Here is a 13,099-nt window from a genome sequence, read left to right on the forward strand (position 1 = left end):
CTTTTCCTTTATGTGAGATTATATGGCTCTGAAAAGGCTGCTCTGATTTAGGGCACTGGATTCCTTCATTCTGAGCAGAGCGTCGTCAGCTCTCTGTACAGGCCCCACGGGCTGTTGATTTTGATGACTACCATGCCCACTGCATAAAACAATGTTCCTCTAAGTGTATAATTGACTTTATCTGCTTTGCTCACTTTTAATTACATGCACTTTCAGCTTTTTCATTGAATTTCAAATAATTTATGTGCGCGGCCCTGATTATAGCTTTCCTGCATATGTCCAAGATGGGTTTGTGCAGGCGGAGTTATCTCTGCTCCTGCCAGCATCCTTCCTGTTAGGCAGTTATTGATTACACCACATAGGATGGAAACTTTACATAGAGTATCCGCTTGGAACGCACAAAAATTTCAGGGTTATTGCAGCATCATGATCAATTGATGTAGCATGCTCATTTCTTCCTCACTAAATTACTCCTTTCCAAAAGAGTATTTTGAAGGAAAAAGAGTGCTTAGGAAACACTGTTGTTTCTGGAGCAGGTTGGGTAATTGCTGAGAGCAATATCAGTTTTCTTTTTCCATGACGAGAAGACACTTGCACAAGGCAGGGAGAGTGAAATGTGTCCCCCAGGATGACACACTTCATGCAACCCCACTGTTAGCATAGACCTCTTACTATGTGCTGGGGTACCAGACAGAGCAGTGGTCAGAAAATTCATGGGGTTCACATTCTGGTGGGGAAAGGGTAGAAAGAGACTGAGAAGCAATACACGATTAAATAAATTATTCAATTAGTGGCAAAATTAGTGAAGGCATGAATGCACGAATGGAATAGAAAAGGTTTTTTTTTTTTGATGAAGTGATATTTGAGGTTAGATCAAAATGATGGGCTTGGGTTAGGGTCATCTTTAAAAACAGTTACTTTGTGCCAATTTCCTTAGTTCCTTTAATAATTACCCCCCTTTGTGTATAAAATAAGTGGTGATAAAGAGGTTTTTCTAGTTTGTTTTCCTCTTTGTGGTTTGAAAATCAGCACACAGTCATCTGCAGGGCGCTAAGTATACGATCCTGGGAACATGATGTGAAAAATCAGGAACCTGCAGCTGAACCAGCGTAGCCATTGAGAAGTGGCCATCCTCCCACTTCTGGTAAATTGCCTAAAATTTACATATCAATCATGTTAACCTGTCATACCTCTAGTTCCACCCACACTCCTTCTGTAGGACTCATCCTGGGTAGACACATGACACCCAGGGAAGCAGTCTGAACTGCAAGTGATCATCTACCTGAAGCCTACAAAGTGTTGTTCCAAAGGGAAGATCTGGGACACTCAGACTTTTACTTTTCAGAATCTGAATTAGAAACTGTGGCTGGAATCACCAGCTAGTAGTGGGTGTAGACACCATAGGGTCATGAAATAGAAGGGAGGATGTTGGAGGAGAGCAGCCGGGATCTGTCAGAGATTGAATAGCAGGCTGAAATCAGGAGCAAGGAGGGGCAGGAGAAACAGAGGTATGCCTTACTGAGCAAAGGAGCCCAGAGGGAATCTGAGCAGAAGCAGACAGACAGAAAAGAACCTAGCCACAGAAAATGATGGCACACAGGGGTGGATCATCATCAGCCTATGTGGCAAAAAGACTTAGGTCAACCTTACATGCAAATCCAGCAGCAAAACCATCTTTACAACACCAATTCATGCTACTATTCCTGCTCTTCCCAACTCTTTGAGTTTACGCCTCTTGCCTTCGCTGACGTCACACCCTATTTTCTTGAGTACTAATATTCCAGTGTTTTTAATCACTTGTTAAATTATCCTCACAATAAATACTAGTCACTTGCAGTCTCATAGGGAGTCTCCGACCCTAAGAAGAACAATTACCTGCAATTTAACAACAATACCCATGCATTCACCCTTTGACCCAGCAATCCTGCTTCTGGGAACTTATCCTGAAGCTACACCTCCAAAAATTCAAAAATACCCATGCACAAGGTTATTCATTGCAGTATTGTTTAAAATTGTAAAATACTGGTAACAACTTAAATGCCCAAATATAGGAAAATGGTTGCATACACAATGGTACATAACACATGATGGGGTATTATGCAGCTGTAAAAAATAATAAAGAAATAAATAAAGAAAATGTTCATGAGCTGATATGGAGCAATTTCCAGAAATCAAATGCAATTATTTAACAACAAAAATGATAAAGAGGACTAGAGGAGAGACACTATAAAAGCAAAAATTCAAAGGAACCACTAGAATATGGAATATCGAAAGAAAAACAAAAGAAGGGTGAGTCTCTGATTTGTGTAAGCAAACAAGTGAAATTAAGACACAGCCACAGAGCACTATGGTAACACATGCAGCAAGTACACTGCAATTTCTTAAGATAAACTTGAAGAAACTACCCTGCACATATTGAAACAGCACTGTCTCAACCACCCGCTGATGGAGCAAAGCATAGGAACAAGAAAGTGAACATTGGGAAAGAATTAACCAGTAAACATTTAAACAAGAGGTGTGGTCTAATCATGGGACGAATCAGAACCGTATTGGACTTCCTATCACTCATCTGTACTACTTAGTACTGTTTTTATTTTAACTAATTAATTAATACTTTTTTGGAGATAGCGTTTTGCTCTGTCGCCCAGGCTGGAGTGCAGTGGAGCGATCTCAGCTCACTGCAGCCTCGACCTCCTGGGATCAAGTGATTCTTCCACCTCAGCTCCCTAGTAACTGGGATTACGGGGGTCACCACCACACCCGGCTTTTTTGGGTAGTTTTTGTAAAGACGAGGTCTCGCTATGTTGCCTAGGCCGGTCTGGAACTCCCAGCCTCAAGCAATCCACCTGCCTCTGCCCCCTAAAGTTCTGGGATTACAGGTGTGAGCCACTGCGCCTGGCCTGTTTTTATTTTGAAAAAAAAAAAAAAAAAATTTTTTTTTGTTTTTTGCAAGGTGCACAGGAGGTTGGTGGGTGGGTGAGCTCGACGGTTTCGGGTTACAGAGGTTTCGAACCCATCCCTCTTCTCGTGCTGCGATTTTTGCTTATTCACAGCCCCTTTCCTCGGAAAAGCCCAGAAGTGTTTCAAGTGGTGACCAGCAGAGGGCAGCAGTATCCACCGCTTCCCGCAGAGCACGGCGTGCGGAGGTAGACTGTCTTCCGGTCCCACCCGGAGATGGGGAATTCTAGGCCAGGTGGGTGTGACGACGTGCAGCCCTAGCGAAGGACAGGGGTGCACGACAGAGGCACTGGATGGTAAGCACAGCATTTTCTAAATCTCACAGGAGAAAAATCACTGAAAAAAACCACTGGTGTAAAAGCTGAGTCTGTCCTTTGAACCGCTGCCCTGATTTTAGTTACAAATGAAGCAAAAAATCCTTAAAGATCCATATTCCTAAATTTAGACCTTGACCTCAAAGATCGCCTCGGAAAATATACAAATCATTGTTTCCTTCATTTAGTCAACTATCTATTGATTTGATCCCTACTTCCTGTTCAACTCAGCATCCCTTGTCATGGGCAAAAAAAGTGAATGGACTCAGACCATTGAAACAAATAAACTTAATCTTGGTTAGAAAAATTCCAAGTCAATGAATTTTAAAAAGTGAGTTAGTATCATACCAATTTAAGTGTTTTTTAAATAATGTTTAATAAGCAGGTGAATAATTAGCATTGGCCTAAGAAGGCAGCATTCTTAAATCACAGAAAAGAGGTATTTCAGCTGTGGCTGTATGTCGGACTTTGTGATTCCTTTATTTCTGATTTCCTTAGTAAGTTATTCAACCTTACAGGGAAACTTTTTAAATTTTACGTTGCTCTTTTAAATTAGCCTAAGAATAATAATGGTGCCAAAATCTTGTATAGCACTTGCTATGTGCTAGGTACTTAAGCATTACATATATATTAAGTCATTTAATCAAACAACTGTATCAGATAGATATTATATTAACCCATATTACAGAGGTTCAGAGAGGTTAAGCAATTTGACCAAGGTCACACAGCTAGTTCATGACAGAGTAGGATTTGAACTCAAAAAGTCTGGATTCAGACTCCATGCTTCTAGCCATAATATCGTACTTCTTATTATTAAATATTAGCCACAACATGCTCTCCACGAATAATGGCCTTCCTTATAGAGTCAGTTCCTTCTCCCTCCCTTGAATTCCTACCTTCGAGCATTCTAGATTGATTGATTACCCTGGTCCTCCCTACCTCCCTCCTTTCCTATAAAATGCCATGTCATGTCACATGAACCTTGACATTTAGAAGATAGAATTCTTTTGTTTGATTCAGGTTTTTTTCCTAAAAGAACATCACACTCGATTCTGATCTTTTTTTGGAACGCTTTGTTGATAATTTAAATGACTGTTTTGTGACTTTTTATAGAAGCCTAATTAAAAATGCATAGTTTAAAAATTAATCACCCGAGTCACCCAGACTCAAAACATCTGTCATCCTCCCTCCCTTTTTACCCCGAGGTAATTTTGCCAGGTCCTGTGGCTGCTTCCTCCTGTATATTCCCTAAAATGTCTCCTAAATCTTCTTTCTCATTTCAGTAGTGGCTCCAAGTGCTCCTTACCCCCAGCCTGGGCTTTTATAACAACCTCTCAACTGGTCTCCAGACCCCAATCCATCCCACAAACCACTGCCAGATGAAGCTTCTGAAAGCAATGCTCTAGCCGGGTTGTATTTTTTGCTCTGAAACCTTGCGTGGCTTCGCTTGTCTACGGAATTCAGTACTGAATCGATTAAGAGGTAGTCTTTTCACTGACTTAGTTTTACTGCTCCCTGGTACACAAAAATACTTCCTTCTATAGGTAAATTCATAAAGAAACACACACACAAAAGTAGAACAGAGGATACCAGGGGCTGGGGAAAGGAGAATGAGGAGTTAGTGCTTAATGGGTACAGAGTATCTGTGGGGAGTGATGAGAATGTTTTGGAAAAAGACGGCAGTGATAGTTGCAATTAATCCCTGTGAATTATGCACTTGAAAATGGTAAAAATAAAATTAGCCAGGCATGGTGGCTTGCAACTTTAGTCCTAGCTACACTGGAGGCCAAGGGAGGAGAATGGCTTGAACCCAGAAAGTTGAGACTGCAGTGAGCCATGATTGCACCACTGCCCTCCAGCCTGGGTGACAGAGCAAGACCCTGTCTATAAAAAATAAGAAATAAGAAAATGGTTAAAATGCCACATTTTATGCATTTTTATCATAATAAAAAATTTTTAAAGTATACTTTCTTCTAGTCCAATTAGATCAATTGCTCTTTTCTCTCTGAACACCATTCCCCTGCTTTTTAAGCTTTATACGAGGCAGAAAAATGTGGTCTCTCCTTATTGCTGACAACTATTTCTTGAACCTTGCAAGGCTTCCTGCTTCTTCCTTCTGGTCAGTGAAATATTAGAATAAAAATTTCAGAATGTCTCTGGTGGCTTTTATTGCTTTTCCATCACAAGTTTATAGGAACATTCTTTTCTTTCTTCTCAGTGAGCATAGGCTTCCTAAAAGCACACAGAAATAGCAAGACAAGTCTATTTCATGGACTCTGCTTTCTAATCGGATGGTCTCATGTGGAATATTGTCTCTGGAGAGGTCATAAATGGTTGTCACGCCATGTGTTGTGGAGCCTTATCTTCTCCTTTTCAAAAGCAGGCTGCCTAGTAGGTTTCCTAGACCATGAACAAGCCAAATTTTTGCTTGAAATTTTTAATATTCCTCTTTTTTTATTAATAGAGAACAATGATTCCAACACATTCAGCTTTATTTTAGGAAGAAATAATTTAACGCCTAACCCGTTATTTTTATTTATTTATTTAGAGACAGAGTCTTGCTCTGTGGCCCAGGCTGGAGTGCTGTGGTGCAATCTTGGCTCACTGCAATCTCTGCCTCCTGGGTTCAAGCGATTCTCCTGCCTCAGCCTCCTGAGTAGCAGGGATTACAGGCGCCCGCCACCATGCCTGGCTAATTTTTGCATTTTTAGTAGAGACAGAGTTTCACCTTGTTGGTCTAGAACGCCTGACCTCAAGTGATCCACCCACCTCAGCCTCCCAAAATGCTGGGGTTACAGGTGTGAGCTATGGCGCCCAGACTAATTTAGTGCCTAATCTGTTTAAAATGATGTTATAGTTTTTGTACAGCCACTTTGTTGTCACTGAGAGATCTCTCAATTTGAAGAGCTCACATCTGTAGAGGAAAAATTATAAGCAAGCCTTGCTTAACGAATTACGCTCTAAGGGATGAGGGACATTCTGGGCCCATGGCTACCCAAAAGCAACCCTCTTTATCTCCATGCTCAGTTCTGCCTCTGCATCTCCTGAAGTCTTCCTACTGAGGCCTAAGGGAAGTGAGGTTTAGAGGAGACCTTTAGCTCTCTGGAAGCCCAGGTGGAGAAAACTGGTGGAAGTATTTTTTCCCTATAGGCTGGGGAAGTACCTGGAGATGAGGCTTCAGATAGCCTAGGATGAGGACAAGACAGTGGCAGATGCTGGAAAGAATTTGACCTGCAGTCATCCATGACTCTTATGATGAAAGTTGATGTGAATGGTGCCTCCTGGAATTGTGCGTGGTGACACCTGGTTGACATTGTTTTCCCATCCTTCAAACCACTCCTCTCATCCACAAAAGACATATACATACAGCAAAAAACTCATCAGAGTGGCCTAAGACTTCTCAGTTGCAACACTGACAGCTAAACACAATGGAGTCACATCAAAGAGAGAAGGATCAGCAACCTAGGAATCCCATACCCAGCTAAGATATCTTCCATCTATCAGGCTGAAAGACATTTGAAGATAAGCAAATAGAAACTATAGCACCACAAAACCCCTTTCCGAGGAAATAATTAAGACTGAAAACCAACCACAGGTGAACCAGAAGAGGCATCTGAAGATGGAAGAAGATAAACAGAAGAGGTAAAATCACTCAACAGGATGTACAGGGCCATTTTGGAACCACAATACTGACATTTATTAAAACAATGCAACTGACAAAACATTTGCACACCAAACTGTAGAAGCCCAATGCCCCAAGCAAAACTATTACAAATCCAAGGATAACTTGATAAAATTACTATTGTAATCAGGGGCTGCTATATAGTTCCCTTAGCATATGCAGCAGAAAAAAAAGTAGGCAAGAACATAGAGGATTTAAAAATACAATCAGTAAACTAAATGTAACTTGTACTATAGAATGTTACATCCATTGAATAGGAGTATATTTCTCCATTATTTCAAATGTCCAGGAATATCTATAAAAAGTGATCATAAGAAGTGACATAAATCCACAATTAAAACCTTAAAAATTCAAAAGCATTGAGATGTTATAAGACATGATTTTCCAATACACAATCTAACAAAATAAGACATAAGCAATTTTAAAATGGCCAAACATTTTACCCATTTGGAAACTAAAAGGCAGCTGTTGATAATCTTTGGATTAAAGAGAAAATCAAAAGAAAAATCACCAGCTTTCTAGAAAGCAGTGAAAAGGTGTGCACAAAATACAAAGTCCATCAGACACAATGACACCCAGCCTGGAGAAGAGTTTATAGCCTTGAATGCCTTCACTGCCAGTGAACCACCAAAAAGGTGCTAAAGACTTACTTCTATAGTTTTCTAAAAAGAACAACATAGTAAACTCAAAGACACTAAGAAGACGGATGAAAAAAAAATAAAATACAAAGGTAATAAAATAGCATATCTACAGAGAGGAAAAATAAATTCAAATACTGCTTCTTGGCAAAGACCAGTGACATCTACAGATAAGCCCCTTCAAATCCTGATTAAGGAAAGAGTGAGCAAGAGAGATAAAGACGATGAGTGTGAACAAAAATAGGTTACATTAGAAACGTGAAAGGAGAAATAACCATAGATATAGGAGTGATTAAAATCGTTTAAGAGAATATAATAAGCAACTCTATATAATAGTTTTCAAAACTTGGAAGGATGAATTCCTAGTAATATTATAAATTATGAACATTGACCCAAGGAAAAAAGTTTAAAATTCTAAATCATCAAAGACAAAGCTAGAGATACTAATAAAAGATCTATCATACATTTTTAAGAAAAACAGCCATAGATGTTTTGGAGACATTAGAGATATTTGAATATGGACTGTATATTAAATGATATTTGGGGATTACTAATTTTCTTTGCTGTGACAAGTATGACAAAGCCCTTATTTTTAAAACTTGCATATTAAGTATTTAAGGAAGAAATGTCCTGATGACTGCAACTTTCTTCTCCCCCACACCCACATATCCACACACACACACCCAAATATGACAATATCATTATAAAACTATAGTAATCAAAACAGCATAATATTGGTGTAAAGACAAAGTGTTCAATAAAACAGGCTAGAGAGTCCAGAAAGAAATGAAACAGATATAGACAACTGATTTTTGACAAGGTTGCAAAGGCAACGCGTGAAGGATGAGTCACTTTTCAATAAATGGTACTGAAACAAATGGATATCAAAATGGGTGGCTCAAAATCTCAACACACAACAAGCACACACACCTTTCCAAAAGAATGGGAACCAATGTACCACATTTACTACTTCCATCTTAGTTTTCAGAGTCTGATTCCACAGGCATTATATTAACTAGGGCTCTTTTGTGGTTGAAAGCCACAGAAATAGACTCTGGCAACTATAGACAAAAGGAAATTTATTCAAGGGAGATATGGATGCCTACAGGATGCAAGTCAAGCCTGGGGAACCAGTTTTATTATGATATCTCCAAGGAACTCCAGCAATTTGGCCACTTACTTTAGGGAGCCAAAGCTGAGATGAATTAATTTTAGCATTTGTTCTTCCTTCTACCACCCACTTCAAGATTCAGAGTGGGGAGAGAGAAGCCAATTGGTCCAGTTGGGTCCCATGCTTGTGCTTGGCGACGCAAGCCCCCTGAGTGACAATCCTCCAGAAGCAGGCACTTTAGGGAGGAAAGTCATTGCTCCAAAAGGTATCAGGGTGTGTTGCCAGAAGAAGAAGGGGTGATGCTGGGCAGGGAAGAGCAACTGTGATCACCACTGTCAGTGTTCCGCTTGGAGTCTTGGCACAACTGGGTGATTAATTCTTCCATAGAGGGTGTGATCCTACTTGAGTTCCATTTAACAAGCTTGGGTGTGAAACTAGTATTAAAGTAGTATTAATTCACATTATTTTTTGAATTAATAGTCAAATTATAAAATATCTTTCTCTGAATCTCCATCTTATTGATCTGGCAGAAACTCAACTGAGTCATTATTGCACCCAGGGGTCAGTAGGTGACAAGGCTGGAGCCCCGTGTCCTGGAACTATGCCTGGAACAGCACTCTCTCTTCCAGAGCACTGAGAGGATGCCATGAGAGGCCTGCACTCACTGAGCCCCATGAGCCCTTCTGGTCTTGAGGAATCTTCTCCACTCCTCTGCGTTCTTCATTTCGGCCTTCTCCCATCTTCTAAGAAACCAAACTTCTTTCCCTCTCCCTGAACTAATCCCTTCAATGAACTTAAGATTTGGGAGAAAAGTCAAGGAGGGAAGTTGTTTTCAGGGCGCTTCTACGTAAAGCTCTTAATACCAACCTCTTTGGTCAGCGTGTATGAGTCTGCTCAGGCTGCCGTAACAAAATACCACAGGCTAAGTGGCTTAGACAACAGAAATGCATTTCTTCCCAGTTCCGAAGACTGGAAGTGCAAGATCAAGGTATCAGCAGGGTTTTCTTCTAAGGCCTCTCTCCTTGGCTTGCAGATGGCCACCTTTTCCCTCTGGTTTTAGAGGGTCCTCTTCTATGTTTGTCTGTGTCGTAATCTCTTCTTATAAGGACACCAGTCATACTGGAACAGTGCCAGCCCATATGACTGCATTTCACCCTAATTGCCCATTTATTTATTTTGAGACAGAGTTTTTTTTTTTTTTTTTAATACTCTGTCATCCAGGCTGGAGTGCATGATCTCGGCTCACTGCAACCTCTGCCTCCCAGATTCAAGCAGTTCTCCTGCCTCAGCCTCTCAAGTAGCTGGGACTACAGGTGTGCACCACCATGCCCAGCTAATTTTTGTGTTTTTAGCTGAGACAGGGTTTCACCATGTTGGCCAGGCTGGTCTTGAACTCCTGACCAGAAATGATCCGCCCTCCTTAGCCTCCCAAAGTGCTGGCATTCCAGGCATGAGCCACCGCGCCTGGCCATGCTTTTAAATCTGGCTCTGCTGCTTATGGCCACTCAGTGGTCTTGGAAAAATTAACCTTTCTATGCCTCAGATTTTCTATCTATAAAATGGGTAATTATAATACTGCACAATCCTTAGGACTCCTGGCTGGTTACAAGTGATATTACGTGAAATGTTCTTAGAACAGGGTCTGACAACTACTAAGTGCCCAATAAGTGCTAGCTATGATTTATTATGTAGCAGCCAATTTAAAATCTTACCTTAAAAATTAAGAATCATTGGATGACTTGAAGAACAATTTTATTCTCAAAGTTGCTACACAAATAGAAATCAATACCTCCCTAGCTATCTGAGTGCCAGATCTCTGAAGACCTAATCCATTTAAATTGAGCAGTTGAAACAGTAATCATGAAGGCCTGTACTTTATAATAGTCAATGGTCCTTGGACCATTACTTAGCCTCCATAGACTCTTGCTTTACATATATTTCTAGCAGCCTTGCCTCTCAGGCTTTCCAGAAGCAGCAAATTAGGAAGTAAAGAAGGAAGGGCTTAGAACTGACAGTAGCAAGAAGTGACAGCTGACAGCTTGACAGCTAAGGAAGAAGAGAGAAAATTAAAAAGCAGAGCAAACAGTCCCACGTGGTCCAGTTCCCCCCGAGGGCCTCCCTGCCAGGAACATGATTGATGTTCTTCAGGATGACCTGCAGACCTGCGTCCCCAGCCAATAATGGTCCCTCCATCCACTTGGCCATCCGACCTAGAGAAATCAGCCTCCTCTTCAGCTACTTCTCTTTCCTCCTGAAATTTAGTTGGTCACCAAATGCTATTAATTCACTTTGAAATGTATCTGGTCAACACACATTTCCCAGCACTCTACTGTGAACCCTTTATTATTGCCTGCTGGACAATTGTACAAGGGACTTCTACCTGGTCTTCCTACCTCAAGTCTCAGTGTCTACAGAAAGTATAATCATGGCAAGGATGGAAGTTGGAGACACACAGTAAGGGTTGCTGAGTATCTACCGTGTGTGAAGTAATAATGCCCACTGTTCTGTTCAAATTATAAAGAAAAAAAGCTCCTCTTGACATGTGCTATTAAGAGTATTAAAAGCTGCTATTTTAAGGTATTTTAGAAAATAAGACTAAGTGTATGTATTCAGAATGAATTACAGAAAGTGAAGTGATAGCTCAATAATTCAGATCCCAAATACCAGCCTCACTTCTTCCTTACCTCCTCTTCTTCATCCAACTGTATGGATAATTGAAAGAAACTAAGGGGCGAGGAGTGTCCCTTAATTCTTGTGTCTTGGAGTGTCCCTTAATTCTTCACTTTGAATAGCACAACATTTGGTTTTCCTTTTCTATTTCAGTATCTCACATTATTCTTCTGTTCAGACACCATATGAGCTTGATGAAACATTCATCTTGTTTTTGTTTTCCTACAGATATAAAATCTCTACACTGGCTCTCTTTTAATCCTGCCCATCCTGATTTGCAAACCCTTCACAGTGGCACTGTGGCTAGAACAGTTGGCTGTGCTGCTGTGCTGGGTGTTCGCAGGTGTGTGGGTTTGCTGGTGAGAGAAGTTTTGCGTGTGATGGTCTGCTGCTGCTGCCAGAATCATTTGGTTCTCTGTGCAGTAGGATGCAGTGGCCAGCACACATCTGGGGTTATTATTTTCCACTCACTTTATGTGAGGCTGGACTCCAGGAGAGGCATTAACACAAATACAGTAAAGAACTTAAGATCTGTATCTTAAGAGAATTCTTATTATTTTCCCTCTACCCGTACTCTGAGCTGAATGCAAATGTGCTTCCCTGTCGTTAATGCAGGCATTTCTAATAATCAGCATCCTTCTGATCATTAGGTAGATAAAGTGCCTTCCAATTATGAATCTTAAATGGAGCATTTTGCCTGCTCTGAAGCAATTTGCCATTTAGCTCGAAAACCTTTTAGTAAGCATATTAGTTGACTCCATTTAGGCAGGTACTTGTTCTGGTTGCTCCAGGAAGCACCCTTTATTAACAACTCCCAGATATTAACAAAATATTGCTATCAACACATTGTCATCACCTCCGTTGCCTGCACATATAGACTGCTGTCCTAGATTTTCCTTTGTCATTTGAGTATGCCCTGTAATTCCCCATTCTTGCTCAGAATCTCACTGATCTCTGCCATGCCTTGTCCTCAGATCAACAGTGTTCAGTGTCTGTATTCTGATGAATCACTCGACCACCAAGCAGTGCCTCAGATGGCCATGTTGCATTGCCCTGAGACAGACTGCCCTTACACAGTGACATTTTCCCCGCTATGTCTCACAGCTTTGAGGCGTATGTCATGGAATGTCACAGAGCCAAGTCAGAACTCTGCTTCCCCGCCAAAGCAAAGCAAAGCAAAGGGTGGGCATAGTTCCACACACAAGTCATGCAAACAAGAAGAGGAGATTTTATTCTTAATATCTATCTATTCACCGACCACCCACTCTCAGCCTTCCCTTGATTTCTCAGGATAATGCCTATTGAAACTCCAACCTTATTCTGTGTTATTTTAATCTCTGATGTGTTCACATTGTGAGGAAGAGTCTGAGAGAATGAGAACAGTTCTGTTTTTTTCTTTTTTTTCTAACCCTTTGGGCTAATTTTACATTTATAGGAAGTAGAAACTGATACAAATAAAATACTTTTGCTTTGAATTGACAGGTGTTGCTTTTATTTTTAAGTGTGGCTTTTGACCTGAATTGTTCAAATAATTGTATAAACCCAGCTTAAGATGCTCTCAATATTTTCAGACCTGCTTATATATTCAGTTTTTGTATGTCTCCATACACAATTTTATTTTGTTTTATTTTTTTGAAATGGAGTCTCGCTCTGTCACCCAGGCTGGAGTGCAGTGATGCAATCTCAGCTCACTGCAAACTCCGCCTCCTGGATTCAAGCGATTCTC

This window comes from Homo sapiens, chromosome 3, assembly GCF_000001405.40.
Source record: "Homo sapiens chromosome 3, GRCh38.p14 Primary Assembly".
Lineage (NCBI taxonomy): Eukaryota > Metazoa > Chordata > Mammalia > Primates > Hominidae > Homo > Homo sapiens.